The sequence below is a fragment of the Homo sapiens genome, chromosome 1, assembly GCF_000001405.40.
Source record: "Homo sapiens chromosome 1, GRCh38.p14 Primary Assembly".
Lineage (NCBI taxonomy): Eukaryota > Metazoa > Chordata > Mammalia > Primates > Hominidae > Homo > Homo sapiens.
In genome coordinates, this window is record NC_000001.11 from 110,535,468 (window position 1) to 110,555,946 (window position 20,479).

The 20,479-nt window shown below is 48.0% G+C and overlaps 1 annotated feature.

Annotated features, from left to right (window-relative positions):
• Window positions 20,042–20,201: a silencer, noted in NCBI's record as "silent region_1175". NCBI's record gives its function as "represses an Ori minimal core promoter by ATAC-STARR-seq in GM12878 lymphoblastoid cells {active_cell/tissue: GM12878}" and the evidence as "EXISTENCE:reporter gene assay evidence [ECO:0000049][PMID:35858748]".

The following is a 20,479-nucleotide window of genomic DNA, read 5'->3' on the forward strand; positions in this document are numbered from 1 at the left end:
CCCTATCAGATCCTGGGGCCTCTCAGGCTTCGGACTAGGCTTGCCCTTCTGACCCAAGCTCCTGTCCTCCGGTTGCTGGGGCAAAAGGATGAGCAGGGCTGTGTACACCTCAGGGACCCTTCAATCACCCCAACAGCACGAGCTGGGACTAGACTTGGAAAGGAGAGAGAGAGAGGCTACCCAAAGGCAGGGAGAGAGTGAGTCAAAAGGGGCAGGTGAACAAGAAGCTGTTTTCTGCAAGGTCAGGGAACAAACTGCCATCAGGCCTGAATGCTCAGGGTCGCAGATTCATTTTCACTGCCCCAGGTCAGCGTGGACCCGCTCCAAACTGTCTCCCAGCACCTGAGGACATTAGTGGTGCAAGCAGATTCTCTTCATACAAGCACATGATTGCTAATGTATACTCCGGCACTGTGCTCAGTGTTGAAGACAGAGATGTAGTTGGGAGAGAGGGGAACAAAAAGCAAAAAGACATGTAGATCTAGGACTGTCAGATGGAAATATCAAGAGCCACCTCTTAGAATGCTGAGGGGACTGGATGAATATCGCATGTATATGCACCTAGCTCTAAGCCTACTGCCTGGCAAGCTTTCAATAAACAGAGCTGTGAAATAAACAGGAAACTAATAGAAGTATTTGCTATGGGATCACAGAGGAGGGTGCACTTCAACTGGGGTGGAGGATGGAGCTAAGCAAAGGGAAGAGGGGAAGATCTTATCTCTCAGGAGCAGCTGGAGCTGAGTCATATAGAATAAATGGAATCTCCCAAAGCAGAGAAGAGATTTGTTTGTAGAGTGGAAGAAGGATATGGAGAAGAGCCTTCCAGGCACGTGCAAAAGAAGGCAGGGATGTGAGTGTCAGCCAGGTTTATCTGGCAAACTCCAAGCTTGAAGGCTCTGGCCTACACGACATCAGGAACCCTTCAACACAACATTGTATAATGGAGAGTTGCTTTAGACTCAGACAGACCAAAGTTCTGTGGCCCTGGTGCATTTCTTAACCTTTCTGAGTCTCAATTCCTCAACTCAAAAGGGGAGTTTGCTGTCTACTTTGCTAGAGTGTTGTGATGCAAGAGTGAAATGAACCCATGCAGTCACAGGACATGGCCCATGGAACTTTGCTCCTGGTTTCTCTAGGAGGAACAGAACCTGAGACTTGGAATTCTGGAAAGGAGGTGTTGGGAGTAGTTGGCTCCAGTCCCCTCTCAATGCGGAAGTCCCTCTACAGCAGTGCTTCCAGGTGATTGTCCATTTCAGGATTCTGTGCACCATTTCAGGATTCTGCAAATGTTGCTGGACCATTACAACCTTGACTTCAGTCATTTATGGCATCCCACTCTCGCTATGTCCTAGGGGAGAGGTAAAAGGGGGAAGAGAGCAATTAGGAATAGTGACCACTGGCCCATGGATGCAGAGTCTTAGTAGGGCCTCAGAAGCTGCTGATCCTACTCCTGACTTGTACAGGTACAGAGGACTGTGATTTGCCCAAGGTCACCCAAGTGAGTTACTGGCAGGTCTTCTGATTTCCCTTGGCAGGGCTGTTCTACAGCAGCCTTTGGCTTAGCTGGCTGCAGCCTAGTGACATCACAGGGGAATTGGCCAATCCCTGCAGGCTCTACTCCTGGGATGTATGGCTTTGTCCTTGGAGAGTCCTCCACTGTGTGTCACTCCTATCATCATTACTAACCTGGAATTCTGGCGATATGGGATGGACCAGGCTGAACTGAGTGCTGTGACTGAGGCCTTGTCCCTGTATGGTCAGGGAGACTGGTGCAGAAGGGGTAGACTGGAGCAGGCTGGTGGGACTGAACCCACTGATGGGGTTGGGATAGGCTGGCAGTAGTTTTAGGAAGGGTATCACACTGAGGAATCTGAAAGGTGTGCAGCTTCAGCTAAGAAGGCAGTGCTGGAGGCTGGGCACAGGTAGCAAGGTATTCCCACATGGCAGAGCCCAGAGACCCCATGGAGTCCTGGCATAATGGAACAACCAGGCATCAACACTGGGGTATCTCTCATACTAGATCCTGATGGGCAGTCACTGGCAAGGGCAAAGCAGAGCCCTAAGCCTCCTGCAGGAGGAACCAGCCACTGGCTGGCTTTCCAGATGTGGGCTCAGGCCCTGGGAACCAGGGAATGGTTAGTTGTGCCTGACTGAGGTGCTACTAGGGTCAGGCAGTCCAGCTATGGGGAAAGGAAGCCACAGACCCTGGGAATCATGCAGACCATAGGCAGGCTGAGAAAGAAGGGGCAGGGCCTTCTGATCCCAGCCCCTCTGTCTCAGATTGACTCATTCAGTCCAGCAGGGCCCTATTGGGCAGAGATCACAGTTCACAGCAGAATTAGGTGAGAGATGAGACCTTGGAGTACTGGAGTGCATCCTGGACCAGCTATACTACTCAACTTGCTGGGTAACCTCTGGTAATTCTTTTAGCCTCTCTGAGCCTTGATTTTCCATCTGTAAACTGGGGGATCATACCCTGCTATGCCCTCCACACAGGTGGAGGTTTGTGGGTTAAAATGAAAGGTATGCAGATTCACACTGAAGTGACGAGCTGCCTCCTATCTCATTATGAGTCGTCCATCTGTGAGTCCCCTGGAGCAAGGACTCTGGCTTCCCCTGCGTCTCCCACAGTGTCTAGGATGGGGCTGTGTCCCGCTGTGCAGACCGACTGAGAGGACGGGCCGCAGCTGAGGCCAGCCTGCAGGGCCCTGGCAGCCGGTGAGGTTGCTGACGAGGGAACAGCCTGGTGATGGATGACGCTGCCAGCCTTTGCCCATCTGGCAGCCTGAGCAATTTGCATAAAAACAAAGACAGCTCCAGCGGCATGAAATATTGATGCCCTGAGACTTTCCAGAGTGGCGTCTCGGTCTCACTCAGCAAGGGCCCGGCTCCTGGCCCCGTGGTAATGGCGCCTCCTGCCTGTTGAGTTTGTTTCCAAAGGGCTGCAGGGAGGGAGAGTTGTCCTGGCCGAGGGGGCCACCTGGGAGTCCTTGTCGACATACATTAGTCTTGGGTTTCAGGTGATACTGACTTTAATCAAACTGGGTTGGAAAAAAACACATTGGATGAGGTTCTGAATGGCTCAGTTTCCAGTCTGATGAAGGCAGATGGGAGCTCAGTCCTCTCAGCAGGCCCAGGCCTCCCTCTCTGACCCTCACAAAGAAACCCACTGACCACATGGCAACCTGTCAAGAGTGACAGGATGGGGATGGGGAGACCCATCCCTGAGGAAGCTGTAAGATGGGGAGGGGTGTAATTATGGGGGTGTATTCTCATCAGCATCTTGAAGGAGCCTGGTAATGAAAAATGCCCACACAGTCCAGCAGTCATGCAGGGCAAACCCTTGCCTCCGTCATTTGTAGATCCCTCTTCTAACAACGGAGCAGTGAGCAAGGTTGGAGGCAGCCCCCTCCCTCCCTCCCGCCCCTGAGTCCTATGGTGGAAAGGGGAGGGTGCTTTAGGTACAGGCACATTTTGGGTCTTTGTCCTCAGGGCAAGGCCAGGACTCTGTTTCTGTAGTTTGGCTTCTCCCAGGAGGTGGGGGTGGTCACATAAAATCCGAGCTCCCTTCTCAGCTCTGTCGCTGCAGGCGTTCCCTTCTGGCCTGGAACCCTCCATCTCCATCTGCCAAAAGAGTGTGAACGTTCAGCTCCAGCCAGATTCCTACCGCTAGTGCAGGCCAGTCCTAATAGGTCTCTCCGTGTGAGCTCCTCCAGGATGCCGGCCAAGGCTTAGTCATCTTTGTATCCTCACGGCCTGGTGCACAGGAGCCACCTGAACAATGCTGGATGAAATTAACAGAATTTTGGAGTGTGGGGTGGGTCAGGGCCCCAGGCTGACCAATAGGAGGAAGGGAACATTCACAGGCCAATGGCAAAGACTGTCAGCTCCAGTTGGAGAGGTTTAGTAGGGGGAGTGGGGCTTCTCCTCTAAATCTGAAAGCTCCCTGCAGTGGTTGGTTGATGAGCCTTAGGAATCTTCCTCTCTGGCCAGGGGTCCTCCTTTCCATCAGAGCTGCATCAGGCCAGTATTTTGAGTCTTTTGTTTTTTATTTTCCTCCTATCTAAAAAGAAATACATAGTCACAATAGAAAAATTGTAAAAAAGTAGAAGAGTATTAAAAAAACAACCACAGTGTTCTCAACAACTTGAGTCATTTCTTAACATTTATTTTAAATATGGCTGACTTGGCTGGGTTGGGGGTTGGACAAGTCCCCACTCCACATTCTGTGAGCAAGTGATGCCAACCCCACACCCACCTGCCCACCCCTTGACCCACAAAGCAAACCCCTTGATCCAGTATTTCCCATCCCAAAGGTGGCCCTTGGTAGACAATGGTTCAATATGAGAACTGCTTGCCTGTTCTGGGTGGGCCCTGCAAGGTCTTTGTGAATAGGCAGAAGAACCCAGATCCATTTGGGTCACTCTCTTTACTTTGTTAGGTAACCCGGCACTGGCAGTGCCCCACTTGAGCAGGGCCAGGACACTGATTCCTTACTCAAACTGTCAAGAGTGACAGTTTGAGTCTGCGGGAAGGGAGAGGGGAGAAGAACGATGGCTACATAGAAGGTCATCTTGCCCTGTAGGAAAGACTATTAATTTAGGGTCTTTTCTGAGGCCAGAGATTTAGTAATCTATTTCAGTCTTTTCTCCACACAGCAGCCCATGGAGTTATTCCAGTATCCAAATCAGATCTGTCACTCCCCTCCTCAAAATTCTTCAGTGACTCAACATCTGCTATAGGACAAAACTGAAATTCCCTTCATGGTATATGTGACTTGTTGTCCCTAAGTATTGGTTCTCCTTTCTTTCTTATTAACATAATTTTTGGGCCTGTAATCCGAGCACTTTGGGAGGCTGAGGCAAGAGGACTGCCTGAAGCCAGGAGTTTGAGACCAGCCTGGGCAATAAAGTGAGATTCCTTCTCTATAAAAATCCAAAAAAACATAGCTGGGCAAAGTGGTGCATGCCTGTAGTCCCAGCTACCCAGGAGGCTTGAACCCAGGAGTTTGAGGCTGCAGTTAACTATGATTGCGCTGCTGCACTCAAATCCAGCCTTGTTGACAGCGATGCCCTGTCTCCAAGAAAAAAAAATCTAACAGGACAAAACAATGCAAAAAACCCCATAACTTTTGGTTAGGCGTAAAGTTGCAAGAAGAAAGACCTTATTTCTCAACCTCCCTTGTAGCATAGATCAGCTGACTCCCAGCAGACCCTCAGATATAGGAGCAAACCTGGCCAACATCAGCTGACCTACAGGTGCATGAAAAATAAATGATTGTGGTTTTAACCACTGAGTTTGGGGGTGGTCTGTAATGTTACAATATCTAACTGATATAATATCTGTCCTCCAATTCCCAAACTGGGCAAGAAGGTAATAGTCAAGCTACATGATTAATATATGATGGATCAGAGCAGAGACACAAAGGTAAAAGAAAGCGAATGTGAACAAGACCAAAAACACTCAATGGTAAATGAATACAGGGTTTACACATACACGAATACTGTATCAGTCAGAAGAGAAATTAGTTGGAAATTGAAGCAGAAGAAAGGAGAATTAGTCAGGTAAAATCAGCTGAGCCTATCTCACTCCTGTCTGGATGGAGCTCATCTGGCAAATGTTAGGAGGAGCCAGTCTGTTGATGAGTAAGCCCTAACATGCACATGGCAGGCTAGAAAAGCCCAATAGCATTAGGCAATCAAGTGCTTTAATTAACTCATCTTGGTCAATTCTTCAATGTTTCTATAATGTGGCTCCCATGGAGAGATTGTGATCAGCTTGAATAAGTTTCCAATCCATTTGACAGTTATATTTCTCTTTGTGATTTAATTGACATTCTGGTCTTATTTATTGGTCTTCATCGCAGCCGTGTTAGTGTGCATCAGTATTCCCAAATCTGATCAAATTTGATTCGGGATCCTGATAGAGTTTGAGTTTATGAGTCTGCAAGGATGAGAGCTAAAACCTTGTTGGCAACGAGCTCATCAGAATAAAAGCTGCTTTCTGATGTCCAGCCAGCTGGCCTCATGTAGCCTCTGAATTAATATCCACCTTTCTTTGCATTTCTATGGTTAATGTTGTTATCCAGGCATATGCAAGTCTTGGGTGAGATCAGGGGAGTGACTGCTCATGGTTAGTAAAAAAAACTGGAGGGGGGAGGCACTAAGCTTTACCCACATATTCAAAGACACGCTATCTAATGGTACCTTTCCAGTCCTCTATATCTCACTTAGAAAGACAATACTAGGATGTTGTTTCAGAAAGCGTCTTTCAAGACTATCTACTCCAACCTTCTTACCTTATAGACATGGACACTCAGGCTTAGAGAGTTTACATAAGTTGTCCAAACTCACACAGCCCCTGAATCCTCCACACAGGAGAGCCACAGATTCATTCTCACTGTGGAATAGCCAATAGCCTCAGTACATCCTCAGGGCAGGTGCCATGCCTGTGTTTAGCACCAAGAGCCTGGTGCTGTGTATGCCCATTGGGGTCTCAGCATGTGCTGCTGGCTGAGATTTGGGATTGGGGAATGGTCTGTAAACCCTGTTCCTCAGTCCTGGGTTTGGCTGGTTGGGGCTTCCCTTCTGCCATCCATTCTCTCAAGCTGTGATCTTGGCAGGAGAAATCCACTTATTTGTGCTTCATTACCTGCACTGTCTTTCCAACTGGTCACACTCCCAGAATGTAATAAGAAAAGCTTTCCTGATTGGGGAGCCGTGGAGATTTCTTTCCTTTGTATTTTCTACCTCTCTCCCTCCTCCAAAATATGTTCACTCTTGGCACCTAATGTGAACTGAGTCCTCACAGCTCTGGGAAGCTTTAGGGGCAATGGAATGATCTCAATGTGATTCCAGGTCTCAATATGGTACAGAGAAAGAGTGCAGAGCTGGGAGCTAGAAGGCCTGAGGTCCAGTGCCCTGGCTCTGGGATGTTAAATAGCCCATTAGATTTCTTTGGGACCCAGATTCCTTATCTGTAAAATGAAAATGTTGAGTTATTCATTTGCCCTTAGCACTAATATTCTGTGGTTTCATTTTGAACTTACAAAAATTTATCGATGGCTGGGTGTGGTGGCTCACACCAGTAATCCCAGCATTTTGGGAGGCTGAAGAGGGTGGATAACCTGAGGCCAGGAGTTCGAGACCAGCCTGGCCAATATGGTGAAACCCCGTCTTTACTAAAAATACAAAAATTAGCCAGGCATGGTGGTGGGCACCTGTAATCCCAGCTACTTGGGAGGCTGAGGCAAGAGAATTGCTAGAACCCTGGGGGCGGAGGCTGCAGTGAGCTGAGATTGCGCCACTGCACTCCAGCCTGGGTGATAGAGTGAGACTCCGTCTCAAAACAAAAAACAAAAACAAAACAAAAATTTCTTGACTGCAGAGTTGAGAAACTGGACATCACTTCCTGATTAACTGAGCTCTGTCCTTGGTGCTGAGATGTTGGGTGTTGCCTCATTGTCCACTGGTTAGCTTCAGGAAAGAAGAATCAGTGTCACAGAATGGGATGCCATTGAATTTTTGGACAACTTGTAAGACTTAGGTCCAAAAATATCGCTCTAATAAGCAGTCTATTAACTTAGGGTTGAAGATTTTTCATAAACCTATTGTTAAAAAATTTGAGCTGTAACTCCAGGCCTGCAGGATGGTTTGGCAAAATGTCTTTCATCAATAGTCTGTGTTTTGATGGCATGACCGTATATATCCTGGATTTATGGGTACTGTTCCAATTTCAAATATGCTATCACATGTTTCCATAAATCACTGTAATGTCCATTGTGTCATCTATATTGTGTCATTTATATTACATCCCCAGGGTGTGTCTTGGTTCTGGAAGTAGTTTAAAAATCTTTTTTTCCAACCATGTGTCTAGGTTTTGGCTGTGAGAATATGGCTTTGGTACAGGTGTAGTCTGTTTGATATGCCTTGTGTTGAGATTATAAACCCTCTGGATGAAGCTTTACAATTTTCCAGGATTCTTCCTTTCTCATTAAAACAAAAACGTTCATGACTAGAGGGTATGCCTAGGTTATGATGTGAGCCCCCAATATTCAGGACAAGAAAGCAAAAGAGTATTTCTGCATGGGTCATGCCTGCCCAACATCACAGAAGAGTTAAAATGGATAAAACATAAGACAAGCGAGATTTGTTTGTCTCCACTGCACTGAGGGCCTCGGTGATCATTCCCCCAACCCCAACACACTTACTTGGCCTGTTTCTTTGACACTGTATTGACACAATAGTGGTGACAGAATGGGGGTTGTCATACAGTTAATGAATCAGTTTTCTGATGCTGGCAGACCAGTGATGGCCCAAGAGCAACTGTGGCTCTATTTCAGTGTTCCTCAGAGCCTTGTGGAAAAGTGTCCCACTTCAGCATTCCTCTGTGCTCATCAATGGCTTTGGTTCAATCTTTTGGGATTGAGCTTCCTCACTCTTCATGTTGGAGAATCCAATTCAAGTTGATCCCAGATATTTAATTCGGGAAGTGTTTGTTGAGCATCTATCATATGCCTATCATTGTGCCTTGATCATGAGGTATGTAGGAGCTGAGGGCTTACTGGCAGTGAGGGCTTCAGTGGGCAGGAGTGGCCATAAAGAAGGTGGTGGAGCATGGCTGGGAGAGAACAGGAAGATGATTGCCTGGAAACCCCAAGAAAGGAGGCAGTTGTAAAGATTATGAGTATGTACTTTAGAGACAGCCAGTCCCAGGCTCAAGGCCCAACTTAGCTGCTTAATAGCTAGGTGATCTTGGGCAGGTCAGTTGACCCCTCCTAAGCCAAAATACACTCACAATGTTGTTGTTGGAATACTCTTATTAAGTTGGAACTATCTTCCTAAGAGAGTTTATGCAGTTTAGTTCAGTGTCCATGAGTGCTCAATAAAAGGTGGCTCTCTGATATATATACAACATGTGACTTGTTCAAGAACATGAATCAGGTAATTTAAGATCCATGCTATCTGTCATCTCCCTCCTGTCTTCTTGGACTAGGAGTTTGTTGAATTTGGTCTTGCAGTTTCTGGTCCCCCTCCAGGATGTGTTAGTGATCTTGTCACATCTTGTCATCTTCCAGGTGTCTGCACATGGATTTTTGGGACATTTGATCTATATCTTGCCTGGTGCAGACAGATTTGTTGGCTTTGTACCTGGAGGGTTACCTTAGCATATGACTGTTTCAACATGTACCCCATCACAATCTTCAGGGATGTCTTCCATCCTCTGCGAATCTAAATACAATCCCTCACACCTTTGGCAAACATTCACAATTTCCTCTGTGCCTTCAGGGGACAAGTCAAAGGGGCCAGCTAGTTATGAAACACCGTTCCTAAAAGGCCTCTTTAATTATTTCTTGCCCCAGTCAAATGTGACTTTTTATTCTTCCATCAAACAAGGCACCCAATTATATGATTATAGCTGATCTTTTAAAATGAAGACAGCAGTTTGAAAAATGCTTGTCTTCTCATTGTCTCCTGTTATGCTGTCAGTCAGCTGGATGGAAGGGGGCGGCTGCAGGGGGTGGAAGTGGTATGACTTCCCCCCTTCTTCCTCTTTTCCCTTTTATACATGGGTAATATGTCTTCCTGTTTCTACTTTTCCCTGGAAAGATCCTTTCTCCTTCTTGCACCAGCTTTTATCACATACCGAGTTTGTGTTTCTTTGGTTCTGGTCTTCTGGTCTAAAGACAAAATTTGTCTGGGACAATTTCTGATTTTCAGATCCTTTGACCACTCTGTTTTAGCTTTAGACAGCACCCCTCTGACCTGAGGACCAGTGCTGCATTGATGCAGTCAGTGACAATACCAACAACAACAACAGACAATAACAGCTACAGACATCTGGATCGTGCTGACCGTGCTGGCTACTCCTTCTCAGTCTCCTTTGCTGGGTGCTCCCAGCTTTCCTGAATTTAATGTTGGAGTGGGCCAGAGCACAGCCCTTGACCTCTTTTCTATCTATGTTTGCTCCCTTGGTTATCTCATTCAGCTTTAAATATCTTCTACATGCTCACAACTTCAAAACTATCTCAGTGCAGGCTTCTCTCCTGAACTCCAGGCTTGTGTATCTCACAGTTGACCTCGTGTCTCCACTTAGATGTCTAACAGGCATCTTAAATCTCTTTTCCACAACAAATCTCTCTCTCTCTCTTTTTTTTTTTTTTTCAGACGGAGTCTCACTCCATCTGTCTTCTTGGACTAGGAGGTTGTTGAATTTGGTCTTGCAGTGTCTGCTCTCCCTCCAGGATGTGTTAGTGATCTTGTCACATCCTGTCATCTTCCAGGTGATTGCACATGGATTTTTGGGACATTTGATCTATATCTTGCCTGGTGCAGACAGATTTGTTGGCTTTGTACCTGGAGGGTTACCTTAGCATAGGGCTATTTCAACATGTACCCCATCACAATCTTCAGGGATGCCCATGCTGGAGTGCAGTGGTACAATCTCCACTCACTGCAACCTCCACCTCCTGGTTTCAAGTGATTTTCATGCCTCACCCTCCAAAGTAGCTGGGATTACAGGCGTGCTCCACCATGCCCGGCTAATTGTTGTGCTTTTAGTAGAGATGTGGTTTCACCATGTTGGCCAGGCTGATCTTGAACTCTTGACCTCAAATGATCTGCCTGTTTCAGCCTCCCAAAGTGCTGGGATTACAGGTGTGAGAGCCACCGCGGCTGGCCTCCACAACAAATCTTCTGATACCCCCTATCAAACCCGCTTCTCTTGGTATCTCCACAATGTCAGTAAACAGCAACTCTATTTTTTTCAGTTGCCCAGACCAAAGATTTTGGTGCGCTCCTTGAATCCTCTTTTCTCTCACTTTCTACATCTGATCTGTAGCAAGTCATATTGGTTGACCTGTAAAATATAGCCAGAATGTGTCCTCATCCTGACACTTCTGCTGTCCCACCTTAGTTCAAACCATTATAAACATTCACTTCAATTATTCCAGTAACTTCCCAACTGGTCTCTCTGCAATTTGCTCTCAATTCCCCTGAAGTAAATTCTCCAAACAAGAGCCAAAGTGATCCTGTAAAAACAGAACTCATGTCTCCTCTGCTCAAAACTCTCAAATGGCTCCCACATCACTCAGAGTGCAGGTCAAGGTCCTTTCAATGATGCTGGGGCCTTATGTTTCCCAGCCCCATTACTTCTCCTTTCCAGCACTCTCCCCCTTGCTCACTCTGTTCCATAATGGCCTCCTTGCTGTTCCTTAGATACTGCTGCATCCTTTCACCTCAAGGCCTTTGCACTTGCTCTTCCCTGTTTGGAATGCTTGTCCTCCAGATGTCTGCCTAGCCCACTTCTGTCAGGGCCATCCCTGGCTACTTACTCAAAATTGCAGCCCCCACTCTAGCCTGTCTCTCTCCTGCTGCTCTATTGATCCCTTAGCACTTACCACTAGTGCATTTATCTTGTAATTGTTTATACCATGAGGGCAGGCATTTTTCCCTGTTTTGTCTGCTAGACTCCTAGTACTTGGCACAGAGTAGGCATTTGATAAATATTTGTTTACCGAACTGCTCTAAAATTACTACATCTGTTAACTTTTTAAATTCCCACAACAGCCTTATGAGCCCTGTTTAGTACATGAAGAAACTGAGGCACAAATAGGTTAAATAAATGACCCAAACTCACACAGCTAGTAATGACATAGCTGGAATTTAATTCCAGGCAGTCTGGGTCTGAGCCCATGTGCTCCACCACTAGGCTTCACTGTCAGGGTGTGGGGTGTGGTTTTCTGTCCCTGTGTTTGGGAGCTGTCACGTGGTCCAGGGACTCAGCAGGAGTTGGTCGCTGTTGTGGTCAGCTTGAGTGGACATAGGTTGAGCAGCCTGAGGTCTAGGAAAGAGGTTTCTTACAGAGCCAGCCAGGCAGCAACTGTTCATATGGTTTAATAGCAGCAATTGATAGGAGGCTCCTGCTGTACTCACAACTCTGATCTGGGACAATACGAAGAGGTCTCACTGGATAGCAGCTGATTACTGTAGTTTACAATGTGCCAGACACTGGGCTAAGTGCCTTCCACGTACCACTTTCTTCCATCCTCTCAACAAGCCTGTGTGCTAGATCCTGCTCTTTCAAAAGAAAATCTGATCCACATGTTAGAGTTTTACAAGAGGCTCAGAGAGGTTGAGTACCCTACCTCAGGCCACACAGTTGGTAAACCGAGAGGTTGTCCTCCAATGATAACATCTGTGGCATCTACATCCTACTACCCGCTCCCCCGCATTATTACACGTGATCCTCACCATAGCCATGCAAGTGACATGCTGCTGGCCTTGATTTATAACCCCAGAAGCTATGGGAGTTTGGCCCAGCCAGGCTATACTCTTGGGTCATTTCCTCCAGTGGGCACCTCTGGGGGCTTCTGGATAGCCTCTTGCCCTTGGCCTTTCACTATTTGCCCCAGTCCCTCCGCAAACCTTTCTTATCTCCCTCAACCATCTGCTGACCTAATGTTTAAGCCAAAGTGATAATTAACTGGACCCTCCTTTAATGTAAAGATTTATTCAAGGAAGACAAACATAAAAAATACTTGCTTTTATCTGCTCACAGTTTCCTTTGAGAAATAGGAAATGTCCTGTGTCCCCTCACCCCTGAACCTCCATTCCCCAGGGACCAAGGTGGAAAGAATGGGAGACCAGCAGTGAGGTCAGGGCCTCTGGCCTGCCTGTCCTGACTTCTGATCCAGAGCCTTCTACCAACAAGGGACAGCCCTCAGTTTCTCAGGGCCAGGATCTGGTGAGCCATGGAGGTATCTTCCAGTATTGGAAGGAGTGTGCATTGGCCTGGGGACCTGGCCACCTTCCCACTTCTGCCCCTCAGGTCGCAGATGAAGGTGGCCCGGGTTGACCTGCATTATCTGGATCACAGACCTGGGCATGCTGGGGTCAGCAAAGAAGAGCCCATTTGGCTGTGGCAGCTTTGTGGGCAATGGTGGGTGTGGTGGCTTGGAAGAAGGACAGAGAGAAGGAGAAGGGGCAGGAGGTGACCTAGGGCACAAGGAATCAGCAGGGGAGAGAAGGGCAGCTCTGAGTAAATGGGCTTCTGGTTTTCTCTCCCGAGCAGCGCAGGCTCCTGGCCTTTTCAGGCCTTCTTTGCCCACCTGTGGTGAGTGAAGGGAACTGCAACTGCGCTTTCTCTCCACTTGTCATGTTGAAGTCCACACCTGAGTGGACTGGGCCTCAGGTGGCCAAACAAAATAGAGGATGCCCAGTTACAGCTGAAGTCCAGGTAAGCAATGAATGGTTTTTTAGCAGAAGTACAAAAAAGTCATTCATTGCTTGTCTGAAATTCAAACGTAACTGGACATTTTGTATTTTTATTTACAAGATTGGTAACATTACCTGGGGTCTGACAGTAGCCTGGACGGGTCTTCTTCTCGTGGACAGCCTTGGTAAGAGCCTTCAGCACAAGCTGCCCTTAGTAGATATTCACAGGGCATGGGAAGGAGCTATATTTGCAGTAGGCCTCTAAGACCTTTCTGAGCCCCGGAATGCTTTATCCACCTGCAGCCTGAAATTTCATGATGAGTCTTTGGTCAGTTAATAAGTAGTGGGGAGCTGACTGGATGGAAGGCAGATTCATCTGAATAGGTATCTGATAGCAATTGATCAGATGTGTGGGGAAGGGCATATCCTCCTCAGACCTGGGAAGTGAATGTAATAAGACCCACTACACGGGCTTACTGTAAAGATCAAAAGATACAGTGTATGTGAAAGCTACTCGGCATATAGAAAGTGCTCAGTAAATACTAACTGATATCATTTTTAGGGCAAAGCACAGACAGCCGTGGAGAACCCAGAAGGTCCTGGGCAGATAAGGAACTCATCAAGAGAGAAGAAGATGGAACAGAAGGGGAAGGCATCCTGGGAAGTGGCCCTACCTCTCCCTATAGTCGTTACATTGCTGCTGCTGTTCTGGACCCCCTTGAAGGCCTTAGCCTTTACCCTGCCTCCTGTTGTCTGGAAGCCAGGCCCTCAAGGTGGGAGGTGGGGAGCAGGAGCAGGTGGCCAGGGAGATGGAAGGACTTGAGACCTGGGCAGGAGAGGTAGAGAGCCTGGGAATATCAGGACTTGGCCATGACAGATGGTGGGGCTGGGAGGAAGGAGGCATGAAAGATGCAGGAAATCATGGCTACTGTGAAAATGGAAAGGAGAAATATCTTTTAATATATGTGAATATCAGTATAGGATGAGGATTCTATTACATTTAGTATGAGAAAATACCATCTCCTTCAATGCCAGTTATAAATAAAGGAGATGCAGCAAAGTAAGAAGGTATAAACTATAAGAAGGGGCATAGCTATATAAATACAAGAAAAATACAACCAAACACCACCATTTGTGCCTAATTACCATGAATCCCAGAGATGGTAATAAATTCATGGCATATGCATTTTGCCTGACTAGAGTTTAGGGTGGCTATGACATTATACCCTGTCCAGGCAGCCTTAGCCTTCTGAGTGTCAAAGGCATTCTCTCATGCGGTCATTGGTAGCTAACGACACAGTGTTGGTGCTGAGCATTTGCTTTTTAATAGAAGGTGGTGGCCTACATGCAAATGACCATGAGGGAGTTAATCCTCAGCCTTTCCTCAAAGGGACTCTTGCACACAATTTCAGGGCCTGGGGCAAGAGAGCACATGGTGGCCTATGAACCATATGTCTAAATATTTAAAAGTCAAGCTAACAAACTGTTACATAAAATGTGTTCACTTCCTATCTTGACACAGGTACCTTTGTAACAACCTGGGAGGTCATGTTCAAATTCAGGACCATGGATTCCCCCATCTTGTCACAATTTGGTAGAAGGCTCTGGCCCTGTTCTGTGTCTACGACCCCTTTTGCCAACCGCCTTCTTTTCCCACTCCTGGCTCTGTCTGGCACCTTGAGGGGATGCATGAGTTTTCTATCCCTGCTATAGTAAATTACCACCGACTTAGCGATTTGAAACAACACAGATTTATTCTCTTATACTTCTGGAGGTCAGGAGTCTGGCTTGGGTTTCACTGGGCTAAACTCGTGGTGCTGGCAGGGCAGCACTCCTTCTGCGGCTCTAGGCGGGAACCCATTCCCTTTCCTCTTCCAGCCTCCAGAGGCTGCCAGTATTCCTCTGCTCATGGCCCTTCCTTCCACCTTCAAAACCAGCAACACTGTACCTTCGCACTCTTTCCAACTCTCCTGCCTCTCCTCTATCACATGGAAGGACTTTCCTAATTATATTGGGCCCAGCTGGATAATCCAGGCTAGTCTTCCCATCTCAAGATCTGTGATTTAATTGCATCTGGAAAGTCCTCTTTGCCATGTAAGGTACCATATTCACAGGTTCTGAGGATCAGGATGTGGACATCTTTGGAGGTGGCATTATTCTGCCTCTCACTGGGTCCTTGTACACAGTGTGGATATTGCCCTGTCCCCTGCAAACAGCTGCTCTGTGGGCCTAGGGATCAGGGCTTGAGTGGCAACACCCGTCCTTGAGATGATGAATTAGGCCCACATGGATTAACGGAAGCCCTGGCCCAGGATGAGGGAAGAAGGACCACCTGAAGGTGATGGGAGGTGGTGTTCCTTTCTTTCTCTAGCAAACACATGTTCAAAGTCCTTTTCCATGTCCCTAAACTCACCTGTCAAGCAGACCGCAGGATAGGAGGCAGATGGGAGACTACAAAGTTTTGTCTGGCCATCACCATCCTGGCCCCACCTGCTTGATGTGGCTGACAGGTGATCCTGAGATGTGCTCTCCTCGGCAGGGGATCTGGAGGAGGGGAAGAAGCAACATCAATTTCTACCATATGCTTTTTATTTTCTAAGAAATTAAGCACAATTTCTTCTTCCCAGTGAATTTCTTTAACAAGGATATTTTAAAGCCTTGGAAAACATTCTTGTCCTAGTTTAATTGTATAAAGACTTTCTGTGCTGGAAGGGAAAGCTGAGAGAGAGAAAGAGACAGAAGAGAGAGAGAGGAGGGAGAGATGGGAAGAGTAAGGTGGGAGAGTGGAAGCAAGGAGAAAAGATGGGGAAGAGGGAGTGGGAGGGAGGAGGAGGGAGAAAGGAGAGAGAATACATTAAGGAAATTACAGAGTACCTCTTTCCTTGAATGAATGTTCTCTCCCAATTTCCTTCTCTCCCAGTTGGCTGCCACCCCCAGCTCACCTTGCAGAGATTAATCACCTGAGGTCTCAGGGGAAGGAGCCCATGGCATTTTCTCCAGTGTCACATTCCCTTTGGTTCCAGCCCTCAGTGCCTGCTGATCTGTGAGGCTTCTTTGATGATGGGGCATCTTCCGTGGGGACATCTGAGGCAGGTAGGGCAAAAAAAGGCCCTAGTGGACTCAGGAGCTTGAACTGTGGTGCCCAGGCTGGGGTAATTGTGCCCAGTTGAAGAGTCTATGGTTGGGAGATGCCCAGGGATCTCTCAGCTCCACATCTTCAACCCTTTCCCGGCACTTCCCTCATGAGAGTGGGACCTGACCAGCTGTCTGACCTCAGTGTCTCTCTTTAACCCCACCCATTGCCTGAGCTCCTCCTCAGTCTTCCTGTCATTCTGACCTCAGCCTGAGGGGTTCTTGTGGCTCCACCCTGGCCAGTGAAGTTGGCCCCCACTTATGGAAGAACAGATGCACTGAAGGTGGGGACTGAGGAGCACTCCATAGAATTTTTATCTTCTTCTGAGATGACGCTTGAATTTCCGTCTACTATCTCCTAGAAATCCCTGCTTCTGAGGAAGAAAGTTGGGGAAACTGAGGCAATTATGAGACATCCATTATACATCAGAAACACTCTGTGATGCCTTATTCCTTTGGCTAACAGGCAAGAGGGAGTGGCCAGAAGCCTCCTATTTTGGCCTCTTGTCAGCATTGAGTGGACACCTCTCTGTCCTTCCAAACCAGAGTGTCAGAAGGTCCCTAAGTCACCCTCAAGCAGGAACAGGGCCCCATGATGTCCTGATGTCACATTTGCCTTGCCTTTAGTGCCTCTGAGGACAGATGGAGAACTGGGTCAGGGGAGGGCAGAAAGGAGGAAAGCATTGGGAAAATCTACCAGACGGGAGCTCTGTGAGGGCAGGGACGGTGCCCTAGTTATCGATAGACCCTCGGCTCTGAGCAGCACCTGGCAGAAAGAGCATGCATAAGGACGGTTGACAATCCAGTGACTGCCCAAGAACTTGGTTTGCTTAATCTGAAAAATTTGAGACCTTGGTCTGCTTATCTGAAAAACCTTTGTGTCTCATCTGTTACTTTCTCTGACTTCATAGAACAGAGTTGTTCTGAAGAGGAGTTATTTGCCTAAAGCTCTGGGGTGGAGTTTGAAAATTAGCACCATACTTGTTTGGAAAAGTGAGAGTTTGTTTATTCAACAAGCATGTATTCTGTATTTGCTTTATGCTATTAGGTAGAGTGAGAAGTGCTAGGGTTAAATGACCAGGAAGAAAAACAGGGTTCTTGGAGCTGTGAAGTTTATAGTCTAGACGGGGCACAGAATTTGGCCAAATAATCTTGCAGATGGATAATTTCAGACTGGGATGAGTGTTTTGAAGGCGAAGTTCAGGAGGCTGAGAGAAAGTTTAGCAGGGAGAACAGGGGGCCCTGGTCTATTGTGGATTCCTTTCCTAAGGGAGTGATGTTTGAGAGGGGTGGTGAAGCAGACTGCAGTGGAGAAGAGAATTCCAGGTGGAGGGTACATCACATCAGGGGCTCCTCAGTGAAGGTGGCCTGGGAAGTGCTAAGGAGGCTAGTGTGGCTGGAAGGCAGAGACTGAGGGAGAAACAATACACAGTGGTGTGGCTGAAGAGGTGGGGAAGAGGCAGAAGGCACAGGCCCTTGCAGGCTGCAGACAGTATGGATTATGTCCTAGAAGAACAGGAAGCCATTCAAGGGTTAGAAGTAGGAGGGTGACGTGGTCAGCACTTTGACTTGGAGTGGATGATGGTTGGGAAGAGGGAAGGGTGCACACCGGTGACCAGTTGTAAGGCCAATGCAATGGCTCCCATAGTGATGGTGTCAGTGGAGATGTAGGAAGATGAATTAATTTGAGAATTATTTAGGAGATAAATGGATAGGCTTTGAGAATGAGATGGATTGCATGAAGGATGAATGATTCCTAGTATAGAAAACCCGTCCACCAATCACTGTGCAAAGGGTTTTAGAGAAGGTGAGTATATCAGTGAGGATGCTTTCTGTTGTAATAGAAAACCCAGCCCCGGAGGAAAAATGGCTCCAATGTTGGCTAAGTTAGCAGCTGTACAATGTAATGAAAGAAACAGGCTCTTTCCAGTTTTCCATTCTGCTTAGGGGTTTTGTCCTCAAACTATCCCCTCACTCTGGAAAGATAACTGCTGAAGTTCTGGACATCATGCCCAGTCATGAGTTATCTGAGTAAATAAGAGGGAGTGTATTTCTTTTTCTCTAAAACAATTTTTATTTTTTGAGACAGAGTCTCACTCTGCTGCCCAGGCTGGAGTGCAGTGGTGCGATCATGGCTCACTGCAGCCCTCACCTTCTTGGGCTCAGGTGATCCTCCCACCTCAGCCTCCTGAGTAGCTGGAACCACAGGCATGCACCACCACACCTGGCTAATTATATATATATATATTTTTTTTTTAATTAATTAATTTTTTTTTGTAGGGACAAGTTTTCGCCATGCTGCCCAGGCTGTTCTCAAACTCATAGGCTCAAGTGATCCACCTGCCTCGGACTCCCAAAGTGCTGGGATTACAGGCCCAAGCTACCTTGCCTGGCCTGTATCTGTTTTAAAGTAACCTTTCCTAATCCCCACCCCTCTCCACAAACTTCCCTTCCTGTTTCCTTGGCCCAAACTGGTTCACATCATGATTGCTGAATAAATAGCTGGCAAGGAAATGGAATTACCACAACTGGCTAAGATAAATCAGAATTAATATCACATTCTGTGATTAAGAGATAGTTTAACAAAACTGGAATTCTCTCACCAAGAAAGGCAAGGGAAACGAATTTTGGGAGGGCAACTGAGTGTCTATTAATTAGGGATCATTTTCCAAAATCCTCCCAAGGAGAAGCAGACAGGGAGAAACGTCTTTGAGCTGTCCTTCTGAGAGGAGGGTGGCCTGCTCTAGGTTGGAGACTGGGGCTCAGGCATTAATCCAGGCCTTTTCTTTAAGTCTAAGGTTATTGAATCTTGGAGCAGGAGAAGACCTTATGAACTTCTAAATCAGTGGTTCTTAAATCTGGCTGGATGTCCGAGTAAATTGGGGAGGGTGTTAAAATACAAATTCCCAGCCTCTACAACCATCATCTGAATCAGAATCCCAGGAGGTGGAGGTCTAGGAATCTGGATTACTAAAGAGCTTACAGGCATTTTGGATACTGATGGTCTAGTACCTAGGAACCACAAATCCATCCCCCACATTTAAGAGATGGGGAGAGAGAAACCCAGAGAGGGAACTTAATTTACCCAAGTTCATCTAGAGAATTGGTCGACCCAGTGCGGAGAGAACCTTCCTGGGAGGACCTGCCTGAGGACCCCGTCTTCTGGGTACCCTTATGTAGGGGGAGGGAACTGTGCAGGAGCAGCAGGGCTGGAAGCCCCATGTGCCTGGATCAGCAGCCCCCGCACGGTGGGCTAGGTCTTTGCCTGTGTTGGGATGGGGACCTGTAACCATGACCACCACACATTAGTCTGAACCTTAGCAAACCTCACCACATTCAACCCTGAAATAACCCTGGGCTTAGGAATCAGCATTCCCGTTGTAGAGATCGGTGGACCGATGCTCTCAGAGGCTTCCACAAGCGTTTGTATTGTTTGGGGCGGTCGGAACTCAGCGCTGCGGAAGCCGGTGTATCTGAGTCTCTCCACGTGGCTCTACTTTTCTGCAGCCCTGTAGAAATAAACCTGGGTCCTCGCTCCCTGGCCTGGGGAAGGAGGTCTGCAGGGGTCTGTGGGGGCCCTGGAGGCGCCTTCCCAGCTGCACAGGCTCAGTCGGACCAGCAGAGGTCACTGCGTGGGAAAGAGTGGGGCGCCAACCCGCGCAGAGCCCAGCCGGCGACCGCCCCCGCGTCCCCGCGGAGCTCCCTGCCTTCTGCCGCAGTCCTCCGAGGGCTGGGCTTCTGGGGCAGGTCATGGCTATTGCAACCAAAGGGAGGCCCGGGTGCCAGTGGGCGGCCGCCGCGGTGTGGAGGGCGCCAGGGCGGTACGGCGCAGCGGGCCGCACTCTTGGGACGCCCCGCCTGCTCTGCGGAGCCTGCCTGGGATGCCCTTTCCTGGTCACGGACTCCGCCGGCAGCCGGGGCGGGACGGACCAGAGGCTACCAACTGGGGGCTTCTGCTGCCTGGGACACGGGGATCCACATTGCCGTCCGAATCCCATCGCCAAAGCCTGTATGTGCAGCCGAGTGGGAGAGTGGCTTAGGTACTGAGTTTTAGGGCAAGCATACCCCAGACCACGAGAAGAGACCAGCTTGCCTGGGCTTGAACCCTGCCCTTCCCCGCTGTAGCTGGGCAC